General features: G+C 37.4%; 1 protein-coding gene and 1 pseudogene across 17 annotated transcripts in view, besides 1 other annotated feature; one reads left to right on the forward strand and one right to left on the reverse strand.

Moving 5' to 3' along the window:
• The window catches only part of NEBL (nebulette), a 513,078-nt gene that overhangs the window by 24,029 nt on the left and 468,010 nt on the right, over window positions 1–21,039 (reverse strand). For 8 of the 17 annotated variants that reach the window (NM_001377326.1, NM_001377327.1, NM_001377328.1 and 5 more), the window contains one exon: window positions 8,768–8,939. In NM_001377326.1, coding sequence (NP_001364255.1) covers window positions 8,768–8,939 — 172 coding nt within the window. Of the gene's footprint in view, window positions 1–4,508; window positions 4,659–5,804; window positions 5,898–8,767; window positions 8,940–9,937; window positions 10,043–11,623; window positions 11,717–13,503; window positions 13,692–14,702; window positions 15,516–19,206; window positions 19,300–21,039 lie in introns of those variants that run through there. The other 9 variants (XM_047424443.1, XM_011519291.3, XM_005252342.6 and 6 more) reach the window with 6 other exon arrangements.
• MTND1P21 (MT-ND1 pseudogene 21) lies at window positions 280–579 on the forward strand (annotated as a pseudogene).
• Window positions 12,816–14,015: an enhancer, noted in NCBI's record as "MED14-independent group 3 enhancer chr10:21105746-21106945 (GRCh37/hg19 assembly coordinates)". NCBI's record gives its function as "activates an origin of replication core promoter dependent on BRD2, BRD4, P300/CBP and CDK7 cofactors, and independent of MED14, by STARR-seq in HCT116 cells {active_cell/tissue: HCT116}" and the evidence as "EXISTENCE:reporter gene assay evidence [ECO:0000049][PMID:35650434]".

Here is a 21,039-nt window from a genome sequence, read left to right on the forward strand (position 1 = left end):
TGTGGTCCTTGTTTTTAAAATATTCATTTGGCCATTTTATTCCCTCTCCAAATAGTTGCTGAATGCCTATTCTAAGAGCTAGAGATACAACAGTCAACAAAACAGCCAGTACCTCTGATCTTGTTGGGCATGCAGAGAGAGACAAATAAATAAATCAATATATAATATCTGAAGTGGTACCAGGTGCTATGAAGGAAAAAATTCAGAGAAAAGGGACAGATAGTCAGGAAAGGGGTGCTATTTTATCTCTAGTAGTTAGAGAGGGTACCATCTGAGCACTGGACATTCAATTCAAAATATGTACTCATTAGCGCACTTCAAGCAGTAGCCCAAACAATTCCATACAAAGTTCCCCTAGCAATCATCCTCCTGTTAGTTTTCTTGATAAGTGGATCATTTGCTTTATCAACCCTCATCACTACACAAAGGTTCACATGACTAACCCTACCATTATGGCCTCTAGCTGTAACATGATTTATTTCAACATTAGCAGAAACTAACCAAGCACCGTTCCACTTAAGAGAGGGTGAATCAGAATTAATCTTGGGCTCCAATGCTGAATATGCTGCAGGCCCACTGAAACATAAAGAAAAATGGCACTTAGCTAAGCAAATATCTGGGGTGGCAGAAGTATTCCAGGCTGGGGGAACAGTGTGTGCAAAAGCCCTAGGGGGAAGCATTCTTGGAAAGTTTGAGTAAAGCAAGGGGACCAGAAATGGTGAGAGTGGACAGATATACTTGGAATGGCAGAAAATTAGTTCAGAGCAGTGACCGGGGCCCAAGATCAGATATGGGTCTTGTACGCAATGATGAAAATTTGGGTTATATTCAGAATAAAATGATAGAAGAGTGACATGATGTCACCAGGGTTTCAAGAAGATCATTCCAGATGTCAGGTGGAGAACAGATCAGAGCAGGAGGTGGGTGGAAGATGGTGTGGCCAGAGCAGAAGCAGGCAAACCAGTCAGGAGGCAACTATCATTGTCCAAATGAGAGATGACAGTGGCTGACATAAGGGTAGCAACAATGGAGGTAGGGCCAAGCACTCAGATTCTGGATATTTTTGTCATGGTCCAGCTGACAAGATTTGCCAATGAACTAGACATGGGGTATGAGTGAAAGACAAGCGTCAGGGATGACTCCAAAGGGTTTAAGTAGCTGGAAAGTTGTAGTTGTCACTTAGCAAACTGGGAAGCTCAGAAAGGAGATTTCTGCAGGGAAGGGGGAAGCAGAGAGGTGGTATTGAACTTATAAGGTTTGATATATGTCACTAATCATTTGAATACTGACATCAGGTGCCAATTGGTAGAATGTGCTTTGCTTCACTTAAATTAAATTAGCATATTCCAATGTATCCTAAAATCTTTTCAAATTCATATGGCTCTTTTGTGGGCACATGTCACTTGTGTTTATGTTATACAACTTATTGGTACATCTTGACTTTTGCTTCATACCCCAATATCTATTTTTTAAAATAGGCAATGTCCCTAAAGACAGAGCATCTTGGCCTCAAAACAGAGGACTGAGAACAACAGAAATTTATAAATGACCCCAAAGAGTCAACTTTTTGGCCAGGCACAGTGGCTCATGTCTGTAATCCTGGCATTTTGGGAGGCGGAGGCAAGTGGAGCACTTGAGATCTGGAGTTCAAGACCAGCCTGGCCAACACGGTGAAACCCCATCTCTACTAAAAATACAAAAATTAGCCAAGTGTGGTGGCGTGCACCTGTAATCCCAGCTACTCAGGAGGCTGACGCAGGAGAACCGTTTGAACCTGGGAGGCAGAGGTTGCAGTGAGCCAAGATCACGTTACTGCACTCCAGGCTGAGTGACACAGCGAGACTCCGTCTCAAAAAAAAAAAAAAGTCAACTTTTTCTTACAAGGCATTATTTGAGTCACTGAGTCATCGCTGCTGTCCAAAATCTCCCTCCATCTTTGAAGAAGTATGAAATTCCTCCTTTAAAAAAAAATATGATTATTCCCTCTTACCCATCCATGTGTTACTCAAATTCTAGTATAAATGCAAGAATATTTGCCTATACCTTCTTCCAATGAGACATTTTCTCATTCAATTTGGCTTAGGATAGGGTCCTCTTGCTAGAAATAATTAGAAAAGAGAAGGAATGTGGGCTTAAGAAAAAGAGGTGATTAACTAACAGCAGCAGGTTTTTACAGCCTTGGAGGAGAGAATGCAAAGAGACAAGTGACGTGGGCATGGTCTGCTGCTGCAGAGGGAGTAGAGGCATCCAAGCAGAGGCCCTCCGAATTCCTGATCTCTACACAGATTCATTTAGGACCTAAATCATAGACTTGGATGGATGATTTCCAAACTGACCTCGGGTGCGGCCTCCTCTTCTAAACTCTAATTGTGTGTGTGATGCTTCCATTTGAACATCTCAATGTTCTGCCCTATCCAATGCATGCGTCTGTCCTATCAGAAACATTTTTCTCCCAAAGCCCCACAGCCTCGTTAACGTCCATCAGCATTCACATCTCTACTCAAATATCCCCTCCCCAAGGAAGGTTTCCCTGACATCAAGGCCAGATGCAGCTGCGCTGTTATTGTAGCCCTCATTCCACCCCGTCACAGGCCTGATTCTGCTCTTCATTATGTATTACTTGTTTAAGTGTCTGCTAAATGTCAAGGTCCCCCCACCAGCCTCTAAGCCCCTTACAGCGGATGCATGTTTCTTTTGCTCACTGCTGTGTGCATTGCCAGATCTAAGCTCTTGGCCAGTGCACAAACAGCACTCAGTAAACATTTGGTGACTAAATGAATGAATGATGGACTGAGGAGGATAGACATGAAGTAAAGGGTCATTCTTGAAACAAAGACTCTCTGGTACATTGCCTTTGGGAGAGACATCAATTCCAGTATGCTGAACTGAGTAACATTAAATAAGGTTGATCAACATTAGTTCTTGTATTTGCTTTGGGTTTTATTTATCTCTTTAAATATCAATATTATTCTGCATCTACAGAACCAGGAAGGACACTGAGGGCATAAATCAGTGACCCCACGTCCAAAAAAAGTAATCAGAGGTCAGGTACAGTGGCTCACGCCTCTGATCCCCGCACTTGGGAGGCTGAGGTGGGTGGATCACTTGAGGTCAGGAGTTCCAGACCAGCATGGACAACATTGCGAGACCCCCGTCTCTATAAAAAATACAAAAATTAGCTAGGTGTGGTGGCACACACCTGTAGACCCACCTACTCAGGCGGCTGAGGCACAAGAATCACTTGAACCCAGGAGGTGAAGGCTGCAGTGAGCTGAGATTGTGCCACTGCACTCCAGCCTGGGCAACAGAGCAAGACTCTATCAAAAAAGTAATCAGAAGTTACTGAACCCTTCATTAGCAATTCAGACAGACACAAAAAGGGGAGATTTTCTCATGTATTTTTACCCACAATAAAACAACCAGTTTATAATGATTTCATTAGTTACACAAAAAGGAGACCTTTAATAAATTTCTACCAAAATAAGGTCAGTCCAGTTTTACAATTCAAGATGTATAGAATATAATAAATTTTATTCCCATTAGTGTTTCACTGTAATGAGTGCAGAAAAACTAATTACACAATTATACAATCTTTCGCAGCTTGGTCATTTCCTCAGTCACATTACTTTTTACCCACCAAGGTGTTAAGTTGCTCAACCTCAAAATTTCCTACCTTTGGGATTTCAACAATATGGCCTTTGAGTTGAAAGGGAAATTCAGTATTGCTTTTGTTCTCATATGCTTCAGTCCTTTCCCCCTCCTTGCTGTACTAAAATATAACTGCAATGAGGTGAGGAAACATTTTAGTCTTAACCTTTAAAAACAGATTTATAAGTAAAATTAGTTTAATACCCTAAAGAAATTCATTGAAGTTCTAGGCTTAATCCATCAGCCTGGATACAGAAAACAGAAGATACAGGAAAAGAGTGGGTATATAAAATAGTGACAAGATTATTAACAATCAATAGTATTTCTCATTTAAAAAAAAAAAAAAACCCTCTCATATCCCAAGTATTATGCCCAATTTCTTTTGGCAAGGTCTAACTCTGTCTGCAAGTTTATATTAATATTTAAAATATACACATTCATTATAACCTCTGAGGTACCCCAATATTACTGTAAGATTGATTTTTTTCCTTAATGGAAATCATATAAAAACTATGCAGAACTCAAGTTTCTCCTATGACTGTGTAGTGTGTATATTTATCACATATAACTCCTGTGAAACAGACTCAAGCAGCAAGTCTCAAGACCCTTTTGTCATTACAAATCCATTGCTGCGATAATAGTGAAGTAAGACGGGGGGAAAATAACATGCAAAAATGCAAATTAGTAGGGTTTTTTCTTTAAAAAAAAAAAAAGACTATTAACTTTCTGAACTTAATTTTAAATTCTCAAATACAGCCAGGATAGATGTTCATGCAAAAGTGAAAAGAATTTTAAAGACACTCTTGTGACACACTTAAAAAATGAATCGATTTTCTTTGTAAGCAGTGAATGTTTGATACCTCCTTCATCAGACGGTCTTGTTACCTCACTGCAGCATGAAAAGCTAGGGTAAATCTCGGAGATTTCTGACCTGTCGTCTCCGAGACCTGTACCGAAAGTACTGCTGGAATGGGATCGAGACCAGTGTCGCCTATAGTGACTCGCCTTTTCTATATTGGAGGGAAAATATTTACACGTGTGATTAAGTGACTCGAAAAACAAAATCAACAAAAAATTACTTAAAAGCTTAACAGAGAAGAAAAACCATCTCTTAGTAAAGAATAACTCAAAATCTCAGCGCTAGGCACCTATTCCCAAACTTCAGCATGCATTGCATCAACTACATGAATAACTTAACCATCGTTTTATGCTCTTTTAAGTCTCAATTTTAAAGGACGGGTAAGGGATAGGAAATTGACAAGGACAAAGAAAACATTGGTAAATTAATAAATTTTTGTTAATTGTAATGCCTGGTTTTCAATAATTCCTTTAAACTATCACCAGATATATAGTATGTGTTGCCTTTTCTTTATTTTTAGAAAATCAAGTGACACTGTTTGGCTAACTATATGAATGAAAGTGACTATAAAAGTACTAGAATTCCTGCTTTGCCTTGGGTATTCAATTCTATTCACATCAAAAATTAAATATAGAGTAGAAATCAGGGGTTAGAGCAAGATCTAAATGACATAGCTATCTATTGTTTAACATAACTGCATAACTGTCAGAGAAAATTTGAAATGTCAAATCAAGCCATCATTCGTACCCCAACTATTCATTTTTTTGCCTTTAATTATGAACTTGCAATCTAAGTTAAAAGCCAACTATGCTTGCCATGTAAACTATTCATTTTACATTATATAAAATGTCAAAGAAAATTTTAAAGATACTTGAAAATTTATTTTAAGACATCTATGATGCCCTGTAAAAAACCTTTCTACTGTTCTATATATAATTCTTTAAATCTACCTTTAAAAAATTATAACAATGTATTTCATGAAACAAACCTCCTTTTGTCTCAGCACTTTAGTGCAATCCAAATAACTGTATTTGTAAACCCAGAAATAATATAAAAGCATTCTTACTAATAAAAAGCTTATTTAAATGAATCTAGGACAGACTAATTAAGATATATTAAAAAGTTTTCTTTTCATAAATGACTAATTGTATTTAAAAGTAGCATAGCATTTTTTTGGTTTGCCAAATTCTCAGCTTTAAAATTTACATTACACAGTACAATGAACCTCTACAGTTCACAGTGGTTCACTTTTGGGACAAAACCACATAAATGGGATGAACTAAAAAGTGAGTAATACCAGAGAGCATATGGAGACTTCTAGACTGAATATTGTCTTCCAGGGGATCAAGGTCGAAGATGGAGCCAGGATCTGTGCGCCAAACTTTGAGGTCTTTTGCCAAAAGGAAGAAATCAACACTCATCAAGAAGGAATTTAAAAAAGGAAAAAAAAAAAAAAAAGCCAGTACCCAAAAGAGTCAAGACAAAGTCTGCAAAGGAATAGATATAAGAAGCAAACATGTAACAGACAAACTCACAGTGCTGCTGACTTCAGAAGAGAATGAAAAAATACTTGCTTTCACAAGTATCTGTTAAGAAATCTTTGTAATCAGATTGAAGTTGCCTGCTCTATTCATTGAGCTGCCCTATCAGACCTTGCTGAAGTACCTGTGACCCATCACACAACACAGGAGCACATGGGGCAGCTATATGCATCCCCTCACAGCACCCCTGAATCCCCAGTCACTCTTGCTCTCCACAGGCTGAAACAAGCAAAATGTTTGATTATAGTTTCTGATTCAGGACATGTGAGTAATTCATAGGAAACAATTGAGAAGTTTATGTTTAAAAAACAAAACAAACAAAAAAAAAGTCCCTTTCTATAACAGAAATGAATATTTAAAATGTGGAATGGTGGCAAGCCTAGTTTTCATTCTGAGTCTGTGAGTGCAAGCTAAGTGTATCTTAGGGAATGCATATCTTATTAGATACACTTATTTAAAAAGTGTTATAAGCAAGGCACACAGCAAGGAAATATGATGAATGAAAAGAGAAATAATATCAGCTTCCTGCTGTCAATGGATCCCTGCCATAGTCAGTGATCAGACTGTGCAAACCACTTTATTCTCCTCTTATTTTAATAACTTCTGAATTCACCAGTCTCTCCAACAAAAGGGCATCAGATCCTAAAATAAGCTGTTTACAGCTGTACCAACAACTGGAAAAGAAAAACCTAGTTATAGACATACGGCAGAAATGGGGCTACAGCAAAAACAATTAATTTGTAAAATGGAACTGGAAATTTGCTTGTCTGTTTTTAATTAATATTATGTAGTGCTGACCATATGCCAGGCACTCTTCTCATTTAACACCTAATTAATTTAAGTTTCATACATATTATCCTCATTTTGTAGATGAGGAAACTGAGGCACAGAGAAATTGAGTAGCTTGGCCAAGGTTACACAGCTCGTAAGAAGTAGCAGAGCCTCCAACAAAAATAGAAGCAGCACAAATTGGCTTAATCTGAATTACTCAGAAAATCTCTAAACGTGTATTTTCATGCCTGATACAGAAGCTGGCTCATTGGAAAGTTTAATGTTGGCCAATTATGGAAATTTCAATGGAAAACAGTTCTTCCCAATAAGAACAAATAAACTGACTTCTGGATTGCCAAGTAAGTAAATAACTTAGAGTCATACATCTTATATTTTATAAAACAATCATAATTTCAACCTCAATGGTTTTGAGTACTGAATTCTGAGAGCCCACGGTCTAGACAGTTTCATGGTTTTTAGCAACGACCTCACCATCATTCCTGACCTCTGATGTGTGCAGGGCCTGGAAGTAAGCTGTACAGACTTTAGCAGTTCCACCCTAAGTGAGATAAATCAGAACCCCTGCACTATCCCTTAAGATAGTTCCATCCCTTTAGCACAAAGCAATGAAACTCTAATTTGGTGTCACATTGAATGAAAACATCACAACTCATCCATCCAACTTAATGTGATCCTTTTAAGTAATCAACTCAGGCAGATCAGCAAAGCTATCAATTGCCTACAAACATGTTTGGAATCCTTCTTCAGAAAATACTTCCAGAGTCACTTTAGTATAATCATCCAAGTTACTTAGTGCTGCTCTGACTTTAGCACCCTGGTTTTGTAAAGACATTACCCTGTCAAATTTAGCTTATCTCTAAATGGCCTTTCACTAGTACCAAAAAATAAGCTCCTACTTTTGAAGATGAAGAAAACCTAACACTGATATTACTGAGTGGCATATACCAAAAATATTCTTTAAGCTACGTAACTACATAATTCAGAGGTTAACTGCTCTGAAGGAGACAATAGTCTTCAGTTGTTGATACAGACTGAAAAATCAATAATCATCCTTCCTAGCCCTGCCTTATACTTCAGTATGATCTTTTCTGATATCTCAGCCACCATTCAACAAATATCCTTCTAGGATTTCTCCTGACTATAAGGAACAGATAGCAGGAATAAAAGTTTGCTCTCTTAATTGCAAGACTTTCAGATGGCTCTCAACTATTCCAGTCCAGAAATAATATTTTTAAAATGAGCTATTACTATTATGGAGTACCATCAGAACGCCCATGGCGTGTCTGTTTTTGATAAAAGGACCTAAACGCAATATGGTTATTTCTGCCACTTATGCACATGAGGTCAACAGAACAACACGTCAACCAAGCAGAAAAACAATTATTTTGTTTTTCTTTTTAAAGAAAAACAAAGTAATTGTTCAACCATTGTGATCACTCATATCTCTGCTGCTTCTTTGCTTAACAAGGAGGAACATTCTTTTTTTTATTATTATTATACTTGAAGTTCTAGGGTACATGTGCACAACATGCAGGTTTGTTACATACGTATACATGTGCCACGTTGGTGTGCTGCACCCTTAACTCGTCATTTACATTAGGTGTATCTCCTAATGCTATCCCTCCCCCCTCCCCCCACCTCACAACAGGCCCTGGTGTGTGATACAAGGAGGAACATTCTTAAAATTAGCAAGGTATTAAAGACAGAGCTTCCAATAATAGAAAAGACTTGAGATGATACCAGGTGAATGCCAGAAATCCCATTCCACATCGTACAAAAATAATACTTTACCTGCGGTCCATTTTAAATTGGGTACCACAACCAACATGTGATGAGGAGTCAGATGACTCAAGAGGGTAATTCTGAAGCTAGAGCAAGCATGATCTTTTCGACCACACACACCGGCCGACAAACGCCGTCAGCTTACCAACAATGATTCCAGGTCTCCTGTCCATCTCCACGATGTGAGGGTGGACCCCTTTATAGGCAGCATCGCTGACCACCTGGGTGTTCTTCCTCACTCTCTCTGTCACAGGATCGTCCACGACGGGAGTAAAGCCTCTCCCCTTTGTTTTTTCAAAATCTTCATGGTATTTTACCTGAAAAAGGAAAAATCATCATACTGAATTTTGCGGATAGTTACCTCTTTCACAACATTTTTATTAAATGACAGGTGTACACTGCACTGGCTGCGTGCAGATTGTCTACATGTATGTATCTTTTCCAAATACTCCAAAACTAAAGTCTGGAACTTCAGTTTCTTAGCATCAGAAATCAAGTGCTGATATTTTCACAAAGTTTTTAATCATTATAGCTCATATCTATTTTAAATTATATATAAAACTATATATATATTATTAATGAGAGCTTGTAAAAATACATATTCTCAAATCCTGGTTACTTCCTAAAATATACTAATTTAAATATAAATTAAATTTCCTATCTCTTCAACTTCAGTATGCAATAAAGTGATATCTATTTCCAGGCAATCATTCATGAAAATGGCATTATTTAAAATCAGTTTGAAATTTTATAGGTAACAATATATACCACTTTTAATATAATTACAAAAACTTATACTTCAAAATATACTTTTTTTATGTCCTGAAATTAGGTCCAGGAGATAGTTGTGTAACTGTAAATTATACTAGAAACCATTGAATTGAACACTTTAAATGGGCAAACTTTATGGTAGGTAAATTACATCTGATAATATAATTTTTAAAACACACATTTTTAAAAACACAGCTTTAAAAACACACTTCTTTTCATATCCTTTATGACAGGCAAACAGACCAAATTTTGTCTTAGAATTAATTGGAAAGAAGTCTACACAAATATCTTTCACACTATGAGTTTACAGTAGTCACGTTAGAAATAAAGACACACCAGAAAAAGTCACTGAGAAAAATCATTTTATTAGACTAAATGTTTCCACTGCATTTCAGTGTGATTAGAAATGCCCCTCCCTCAAAAGACAAGCCAACCACATTTCCATGCTTTGTTAGTTATCGGATTAATAGTGAAGTAATGCCATCCGTGCACTGGATCCGCCCATTCCTTAGCATGTTTTAAGAATGATCTGGTTGGACCCTACCATTGAAATATGATTTTGTGCTTCTTTAACATGTCTCATAGCAGGTGTATCTAAAATCAGACTTGGTCTACCTTTCATCTGTTTATGGTCCTGGGTATATTTTACCTGCAAAGTAAATAGTAGGCATAAGACAATGATAAGAAAACACATGATGTAACATTTTTAAGCTTTACAAATGAGTGAAACATATGCAACATACTTGAAATTATTTTCCAGGTAACTATTTCAGTGAATTAAATTTTGTTCTAGAATAGCAACCTAAAATTTTACAATCAAAGATCTCCTCCACCGCCTACTGCTAAATGACCTAAATCTATCAACTCTAAACAAATGTGTGAATGACCAATAGTAACTATCTATCTAGTCTGTAAACCTGCGCAAGCCCGAGGACTCGTATCTGTAATCACAGCACTTTGGAAAGCTAAGGTGGGAGGATGACTTGAGGCCTGGGATTTGAGACTAGGCTGGGCAGCACAGTGAAACCCCCCATCTCTACAGGTAAAAATTAAAAAAAAAAAAAAATTAGTTGGGCGTGTGCCTGTAGTCCCAGCTACTTGAGAGGTTAAGACAAGACAGCTGCTTGAGCCCAGGAGTTCAAAGCTGCAATGAGCTATGATTGTGCTATTGCATTCCAGCCCGGGCAACAGAGACTGTGTCTCAAACACACACATACACACATACACACACACACACACACACACAACTGGTTATCATATTTAAGTTAAACAGAGAAAATCCAAAACTATTAAATAGAACCCAAAGTTATTTTGTTTCTAAATTTCCCAATTTTCTACCATAAGAGTGTTAAAAAATGCATACAAGCTACTCTATTTCTTTTTATTTTTTTCTCTGCTTAGGGAATAAGAAACAATGAGGAACAAATTTAGTTGTTCTTCTAAGCAGCCACAACTTAAAGGTAATTTATGTTAAATACACACAGCATCTCTGGACAGAAATGTCACTAGGAAGCTGTAAATTGCAAAGCCTAAATGCTGATTCTCAGGCAAACAGCTATTCAGGGTATGCTAAGAAAAGGGCCTGTGTTCTTCACAACTGCCCATCAGAACACCGCCATTTATGAAACTGATTAGGTGTAAGATATGGATACCACTTACTGTGGACCTGAGGGCATTATGTACAATTCAGAATTGAAGCCCTGATATTCACTAAGAGGAAGCACAATATTCAGATAAGATACTCATGTACACCACTGGACTTTGGTGAGCAACTGAATTCTACGTTAACTGTATTTAAGGATTCTTTTCTGTAAGTCTTTAGTGGGGGTAATGATCCATCTCCTATTTTGTTTTGCAGACAGCATTTAACAATCCATGTTCAATGAAATATTTCAGGAAAATGACAATTATTTAACGCACACATCAAAGGCTTTACCACCTTCAAAGACACGGCTAACATATCATGAATCGTTGTTTAAATGAATATAATTTTAACCTAAGCTTTGAATGTAACTGTTGGTCACATCTGGAAATAACAAAGAGTTGCAAAATAATGTAAATGTTTGCAGTGGCAGCTTTTGGAAGTCATCTGAAATAACACATGTACTTATTGGACACATCACAAATGTTTCTTGAAAATAAGTTTTATTTTCACAAGCAAAGGAGGACCGCAAGTAAATAATAAAAGACACATCCTTTGTGATAGTCTAAAATGAAGAAAACCACTTGCCGAGCTAATATTTTCTTGATTCTTCTTCACTCTTTCCATTTCAGGAGTTACACTTAAAGTGGTAGCTCTTCCCAGCTGACCTCTGTAATAAACCTATCATTTCAGAGAACAAAAAATAGAATACTATGAATCAATTCAACAAAGAGACTTATTTATTTATTTAAGACAGGGTCTTGCTCTGTCACCCAGGCTGAAGTGCAGTGGTACAATCTTTGCTCACCACAGCCTCGATCTCCCAGGCTCAGGCAATCCTCCCACCTCAGCCTCCCAGGTAGCTGGGATTACAGGCACCTGCCACCATGCCTGGCTAATTTTTGTATTTTTGTAGAGATTGAGTTTTGCCATGTTGTCCAAGCTGACCTGAAACTCCTGGGCTCAAGTGATCCACCCACCTCAGCCTCCCAAAGTGCTGGGATGACAATCCTGAGCCACAGTGCCTGGCTCACAGTATTTATTTTAATGAGTTAGTCAGGGAAGTTTTGTAGGAAACTACAAAAAATATTTTCAGAGGTTGAGTTGTATTTAAAATGCTGGCATCTTAAATCAATCTATTTCATTTCATCCCATAAGAGAGTACATGTGTCCAAATCACTGTGGATGTACTCGAATACATAGGCATACCATCCGTAAAGCTGTAATAAATATTTAACCACAAAAGGAAATGAGAATAAATGTCTTCATGGAGATTACTTAAAGGTATTCACCGTAGACTGGTACTACATGGTCGTGGTTTCTTAGGAATTAACTGCGGCAGAATTTTTGTAAAGATGTGTTTAAATAGGTGACTGTGGGCATCCTTTAAAAAGCCAGCATGCTTCTCACTGGTCCACTCCTTGTCTAAATAACCATGTTCCTTTTTGAGAATAATGGAGTCACATCAAGTATGACTCTAAATATATGGGGGAAAGATGAGCGTCTACTTCTCTAAAATATAGTTGTTAGGAAAAGTATCAATCACCTGCCTTTGCATTATAAACTGGTAAAATGACTTTAAAGGTGTGAAGAATAAAAGATTTCTTTGAACGTAATAGATTTCCAAGTTTCCTCTTCCAAAGAACCCAATCTATATGTTAATGACTGTAAAAGAGGACTTTCTTCTTGAACTGCATCCGTGAATTATTTCAACAACAGGGAATCGGAGCAGGCCACAAGTTGGTGTCTAGGTAAAAACTGCCAGCCCCTTATTAAGTGCCCCCAAAATGGTCCTGTCCAATATAACCTATTCAGCCATGCACACATTATCATTTCTTCCTAGACTTTGCCCAAAAATGGAGTCATGATTGTGGGAAGTGGAAAGTGGGGCTCGGAGGAAGCGCAAGAACAGGAACACATGCTGGTAGAAAAGGGAGGGAAAATGTTTGTTTGTAGGGCCAGGATGCCAGAAGCTACGACTGTGGGACTTGAGGAGACCATAGCACCCATCAGCTAGATGACAAGATAGAAGGGATACACAACAACCTGTCAAAAAAAGTCACCCAGGCCCGGTGGCACACATCTGTAATCCCAGCACTTTGGGAGGCCAAGGTGGCCGGATTGCATGAGCTCAGGAGTTTGAGACCAGCCCAAACCCCGTCTCTACAAAAAATACAAAAATTAGCCAGGTGTGGCAGCATGTGCCTGTAATCCCAGCTGCTTGGGAGGTTGAGCTGGGAGGATCACTTGAACCCAGAAGGCAAAGGTTGCAGTGAGTCAAGATTGTGCCACTGCATTCCAGTCTGGGTGACAGAGCAAGACCCTGTCTCAAAAAAACAAAAAGAAAAAAGTCATCCTGATGAGTCACTGGGAACCCTGAGGTGGGGAACACCTGACTGTACCCACAATACCAAAGTCCCCGAAATCTTTCAAATAAGTTGTTAGTCAAATGAGAACAGGACATCAGCTCAAGGTTATGAAAATTCTATAAATACAATCCCTTCATTCACACGTGGACAATGCATTTGATAGTGTAAGAAAAAAGTTACTAAGATGATCACACATTGCTGATGTTTTTCTGGTTTTCTTTTGCCCTCTTCAGCTCTGGTGGATCAGAAATTGCAGTTCCCCGTTGAAGTTCTCCCTTATATTTTACCTAAGAAGGATAAATAAGAACTTTAACAGATAGCACAATGGGCTCCACTGAAATACCACAAAGGACAAGGCTCAAAATTAGCACCATCTTTTTACACATTTTTTTCCACAGTTGATTACATCAACCTTCACGCTTACATATACGCCCACATTCCGATGGGTCTGATTTAGCAAGCACAAGTTGTTGCTGGTACTGTTTAAATATGTCTTCAATAAATGCTTTCCTCTTCAATATCAAAATTAACCATAAATTCCACAAATAAAAGTAATGGAATCATAAGGCAACATGCTTTAAAAGAAACGCCAGAATGAAGTCATTACAAGAGAACTCTTGTGAAGTCCATTCCCTGTCACCCTAGAAGGCTTTTTACTGTCTTCTGACCGTGGGGCTTCTCCCTTCAATAGAAGCTAAAGCTCTCTGACTCCTACCACCTCCCAGGGATATTATAAGGATAAACAGTGTTGAGCCTCATTATCTCCACCCAGGAGAACCTACTCTTACATTTTGAAGTCTTTCAAAGGTACTTGTTTTGGAAAAAGAAGGCTTTTGTTTGTATTGGTGAAAGTTCAACAATATGTTCCAATCTCAGCTCTGCCTTTACTAGCTGGGTGGGGGGGCTGGGGGTGGGAGGCCAGCATGTCCTCTGACCTCCCCAAGACTCAGTTTCCCACATCTACCAACCAGAGAAACAAACAGTGCTGACCTCATGGGTTTACATAGAACATTAGTACAGGGCCCAGCACAGAGTAGCGCTGCCTTGTTAACTATTTTTGCTTTATTCACAACAGACTATTGAATGACTGAAAAATGTTTTCCATTTATAAGGCTCTTTGACTTGATACTATGTCTTAGAATGCCAGTCAAGCCAGGTCTTCTTTTGCCCTGTTCCAATATATATATATTTTTCTTTTCATATTGACATCAGATCCAGTATTCTCCATTAACTGCATTTTTTTAAAGAGATTTACCAACTGAACTATGAGGTCCTTGAGGATAGAAAGTGGGTCTTACCCATCTTTGTGTCTGGGTGACCAGGACAATGCCCAGTACATTTGGGTACTTAATGAAGATCTCTTGAATAAGCAAACACAGCTAAGGTACAGCAACACAGTCCCAAATTTCCTGGACACGCAGTTCATGCCCTTCAACAAGGAAATGTGAAAAGGAACATCCAAAAATGCAGAGGGTGTAAAACTTTTCCTTTTTAAATTTTTAGATAGTTTTATTAAATCTGGAGATATTCCGTTTATCATCATCGTTATTATTGCAGTTGTTAAATTTTACAAAAGAATTAATGCTGCATGTACATATTCACTTTTTCATGTTATAATGATATGATTCATCCATATAATTGCATGTTGCTCAAATTCATTTTCTTTTAAAACTTTTAAGTTCAGCGGTACATGTGCAGGTTTGTTACACAGGTGAACTTGTGTTATGGGAGTTTGTTGTACAGATGACTTCATCACCCCGGCATTAAGCCCAGTACTCAACAGTTACTTTTCCGGATCCTCTCCCTCCTCCCATCCTCTCCCGTCCAACAGGCTCCGGTGTCTGTTATTCCCCTCTATGTGTCCATGTATTCTCATCATTTAGCTCTCATTATTATGCAGTATTTGGTTTTACGTTCCTGTGTTAGTTTGCTAAGGATAATGGCCTTCCAAAGGGCATATTTTTAAATAAAAATATGTTATGTTTGAGAAAATATAAAAGGAAACAGAAACGACTTGCCGCACTCAGCTGCTCCTGGTTTCGCCTCACTCTCTCTATCTCCGGGGTCATGCTTACCGGAGTGGCCTTGTAGTTTTGCTCTTTATACTGGAGCTGAGAGACAAGGTGCAAGACAGTTTGAGATTATGGGAAATAAATACGTCCCAAAACATTGCAACAGATTTTTTTTAAATGTCACATGGCTACAGAACATTCATTAATAAGATCATCATCAGGATTTCATAGTGAAATATGTATTGCTTATAGATTTTATCTTCTTGGCGATGCCAGTCTTTTCCTTGTCAAGTGGTTTTGTTGTTGTTGTTGTTGTTTTATTTTTGAGACAAGGTCTTGCTCCGTTGTCCAGGCTGGAGTGCAGTGGCGTCATCACAGCTCACTGCAGCCTCAACCTCCCAAGCTCCAGCGATCCTCCCGACTCGGCCTCCCAAAGTGCTGGGATTACAGGTGTGAGCCACCACACCCAACCCTTATCAAATGTTTTAAGTCACACTTTTTGTTGTTTTCCTTCAGATTATATTATTTATTGGTGGCCTCTCTGAGTTTGATCTTATCAGTAATAATGAATAATCCCCTCATCAGTAAGAATGAATTCTATGAATTCATTTCTTCATAGCACTAAAGCAACATTTATCAAATTGCCATTTTATATTTAAAAATAATAATTCTACATTCTTATCATTGGGAAGGAGAGTAACAAAATCCTGTACCTGAACTTTAGTGATAGACTATTACTGTATAAAGAAACCTTGAACTTCAAAGGTTCTTCTCTATGCCGTTCTAACATTGGAAGCCCCATCTCTGACCTAGCATTATAGAAATTTTCCTGACTTAATGCACAGAGGTGTTTTTCTTAGCTGGGGATCTAACTCCATTGTTTGTGGTCATCTTTCCCAACAATTCCACAACACCTCCCAAAATAAATGAGCATCAATAGAGAAAATCAGAATGGCAAATGAACTTTTGGCAGACAAAAGTAGAGCTGGAGGTTAAGATCTCATTAGAAGAAACTTCACAGGGACAGTTTTAGTGTCTTTTTAGACTTTAAAGCTCAGGTTAGGGAATTTTCTTTTACAAGAAATCCCCACAAGACCTGCAGGGCCTGCTGATGAAACAGACTTGAGGTCGGGTTTGGTGGCTCACGCCTGTAATCCTAACAGTTTGGAAGGCCGAGGCAGGTGGATCAACTGAGGTCATGAGTTCGAGACCAGCCTGACCAACATGGTGAAACCTCATCTCTACTAAATATACAAAATGAGCCAGGCATGGTGGTTTGCATCTGTAATCCCAGCTACTCAGGAGGCTGAGGCAGGAGAATTGCTTGAACCCAGGAGGTAGAGGTTGCAGTGAACTGAGATCACGCCACTGCACTCCAGCCTGGGTGACAGAGTAAGACTCTATCTCAAAAAACAAAACAAAAATAAAAAAGAAAGAAAGAAAAGAAAAAGAAATAGACTTAAGATGCATACTCTTAGTAGTGAACATGAGAGTGAAGGGAAGTTGAATAAGTTTAAAAAATAAATGAAAAGGGGTAAGGTTCCTCTGGCCTCTTTCCTCGATATGTAACTTTCTGTGTGCCATGGTATGTAGTTTGAGATGTTACGCAGATTCTTGTGACCGGGTGATTGAGCTAAAGGGAGGAATGTTTCAGTTTAATCTGTATCAAGCTTGAAAGAAATCACTCTGGCTAAAGCTCAAAGGGGTTACATCTGAATAGTAAATTCACATTATTGACAAAGAGAAACTCTTACTGCCAATTTCTAGTGGATGTAAGTTTGGGTGCATAAGTTTGATAGAATCTTCACATCTTGTATTCATCCCTTCACAAACATGCTGTGTGCTTCACAAGCAATATCTCTTCAATACTCTTATCCTTGCTTTATATAGAGGAAATTTAGGTTTCAAGAGGTGAATGGCTTACAACAATTATACAACAAGTAAGATCTGGAGTTAGGATCAAATCATCCAACAGTCCAGGATCCAGGGTTCATGTTCTTTTCCACCACTTGAGTGTTATCCAAATTTCCCAAATTTCTGCCATTTGCATGCCCCTTTCTCTATGTCATACCAGATAAATACTACAAATAACACCTACAATGTTATACTTTTTCATTAAATTAATTCACTGTTTATTTTCAAATAAAGTTATTTCTAAGAGATTGTTATATTTCTACCATCAATTGAAAACTAGTCACCCTTCTTTTGGAAGAAGGTAAACATTAGAACAATTTAATCACGAAGTCAACTGCTCTTAAACATTAAGATTGTCAGTAAGCCACATAATATCTACCGGAATGCCATAATGGTATATGAACCACACTTTAGAGACACTGTGGGAATCCATACTACCTTTTTGTGATCTGTATCTCAACTTCCCTCTCCAGCATACGCTCCTGCCATCTTTCACCCCAAGTACTCATCACACTAAACCCTCTTCTTGAATCCTGGAACAAGCCTTGGATCTTGAACATATTTGGTTTGCTCTGCCAGGAATGCCTTTCCTCACAAAACTCAGCTCTAAACCTTTATTACCTTTTCAAGATCTAACTCCAACGTTACCCCTTCCCCAAGGCTCTTTGTCTCTGCCACTGCATAGCCGTCCTTCTGCGTTTGCACAGCACTTTGCAAGAGGCATTATTACTTATGATTAAATGAGATATTGCAATGTAAAGTACCCAAAATGCATAGTAAGCACCCAACAAATAACAGTTATTGTAATGGAACTTAAACAGTGAACATAGCTATATACTCCTATCTCTGTTTCTCCTACAAACCTTGAGGATGCCCACGACCCCTAATCTCAGGGCATACCTCTCATCTTTAAAATCCCCCAAGAACAAGAACAGAGAAGACATTCAATAACACATTTCATGTTTAGTTTTGTCACTTGTTTTGTTTTGTAGACTAATATATATATATGTTATCTATCTATCTATCTATAGGTCTATCTATAGATAGATATCTATACCTATTTTCATAAATATATATATTCATAGATATCTATACCTATTTTCAGAAATAGGTATAGATAAAAGAAATAGAAAATGTTCTTTTTTGTGATTTGTTTTGCTTTGTAGACTAATATATAGATAGTCCATATGTCTATATAGATAGGTAGTAGTCTAACTAGATATAGAAAGACTATATAGAGATATATACAGACTATCTAATATAGACTATATATAAACTAATATAGACTATATAGAGATATACAGACTATCTAATATAGGCTATATATAGATATATAGAGACTATAGATATATAGATATATAGAGACTATAGATACGTATATATGTCTACAAAACAAAATAAATGACAAAACAAAAAAGAAAATATCAATATATGTTTCTGAAAATAGGTTTCATTCCTTTTTAATTATTATAGATTCAAAGGTACAAGAACAGTTGTGTTACATAGACATATTGCATAGTGGCGATGTCTGGGCTTTTAGTGTAACCATTACCCTAGATAGTGTACATTGTACCCAACAATATTTCACCTCTCATCCTGCTCTCACCCTCCTACCTTTTGGAGTCTCCAATGTCTATGATTCCACTCTGTATGTCTGAATAATATGTGTCTTTAATAAATAAATGCTGACACAAGGCATTAGGCTAGGTGTCATGGAGGGCATACAGATGTGTAAAATGCTAGCTCCACTTTTAAGGAACCGATCCTCTCGCAATGAGGTTCATTGTGATGGCATTTGACCTGTACAGGTTTTATGCTGTCATTACGTGTTGATATACAATAAAATTTTTAAAAAATACTTAAGAAATATGATCACATTGCTGATGTTCTTCTGGTTTTCTTTAACTCTCTTTAGTTCTGGAGGATCAGAAATGGCTGTTGCATGTTTAATCTCTTCTTTGTATTTCACCTGCATAATTTATAAGAATATAACGTTAACTTTATTCTATGCAAGGCTTTAAAATATTGAGAATTCTTCAATTGTAACTATTGCATAATTGAATTTTATTAATTCCAACATTACTTTTCCTTCACTGGGGACATAATTCTTAATTTTATATGATGCTTTCAGGATTCCTTATTCCTAAGGTACAAATAAATCCGTATCTATTCACTTATTCATCACTATAGGAGTTTTTTAAGTAAAATAAGCAAATGTTGCTTATAAAAATAAATTTTATCATTAGGCAGATGCAGGAAAAAAACCTTGTACATTATCGTAAATAAAATGATTATTTTCTATCCAAAAATCAGTTTCTATTAATATGGTAATTAAAATTTAACAAGTATTTAAAGGCAAAAGTCAAATTGATTTAGCCACAGAGTCTGGGGAGCACTGCTTGTCTGACTGAGAGCACATAAATAATAAGGAAATAAATAAGGAAATAAGGAATTCCTTATAGAATAAGGAAAAAAATAAAGTGAGCACAATAAAAGAAGAGAAAAAGGGAGATGGAAGGAAATGTACTAAAAGCATAGACCACTGGGTCCTGCATCAGTATAAGGAAGGTCAGCGCCAGGAAGTCAGAGATGTCTGCTATCCACACAATCACATTAGGAAAAGCTCACCTTTATCCTGGCTTCTACTTCACTCAAAATCTCCCCCATCACATATATTTAGAGGAAGATCAATCAGGCAAATGGTAATACAAGCATACAGTTATGCACGGGACAAGAAAGAGTTCTTTGAACTCATAAAATGATTAGTGATACTATCAATTCAGGTGGTATTTTAATATGTCTAAAATTCATGGAAGATAATTCAAATTCAATCTTCCTTGAATGAAAAGGATACATATATATGTAAGTATATGAAAGCATAGGCTCAACTTAAGAGGCCGTGTTGAAATTTAGTAAATATCTAAATCTACATGAAACATGTTTCAGAAATCACCTGGTAATGTTTAAAATGATTAAGGGTGAAAACCATGCAGACTGTCATAAAGAAACAGTACCTAAATATCTCAGATATCATCTATGTCTTAGTATCTGTGGATTTCATGTAAGTAACAATGCCAATATTAGTCCAGACCCAAAACAGTTAAATTGGAAGTTCACTGAGACAGGCTACCTCTAAATAAAATTCAAAAATAGTTCTTAAGACAGAGAGCTAACAGCTAAAAGGCTTGTACTCTGGAGGTGGAAAATGTCGAGATCTTTAAATGTTAGAGAATCATATCTTGGTTTGACAGATCTAGCTAATCTTAAAAGGGCAACTTTCCATTTGAATACTAAGCAGGAGTTTATGGCCCAACCTCATGCAGATACAGAACTATGCATTTATTGTTTGCTAGAAGAGGCTGTGGGATGCTAAGAGAAGAAATGATATACTGTAATACTCTGGGATTTTCCTCAGGTAAGAAGCTTAACATGATTAAAGATGAACACTTTTGTTTTTCAAAGGGACTCTAATCAAAATGGCACAGTTATTTCACTGTAGTCTATAGAATTGCACACTACAGAATATTTATAATATTAAACCACAGTACATCGATGGGTGCATTTTAAATATTATCATTGGAAAGAGAAGCAATGAATATTTTATACTTCTCTCCCAACCTAATTCATCTACCAGGCTAACACAGGCTCTCACCATGAAAGATCAGAAGAACACATTCATCCACTCTCATCCACACCTTAAGCCTAGGTC

The sequence above is a fragment of the Homo sapiens genome, chromosome 10, assembly GCF_000001405.40.
Source record: "Homo sapiens chromosome 10, GRCh38.p14 Primary Assembly".
Taxonomy (NCBI): Eukaryota; Metazoa; Chordata; class Mammalia; order Primates; family Hominidae; genus Homo; species Homo sapiens.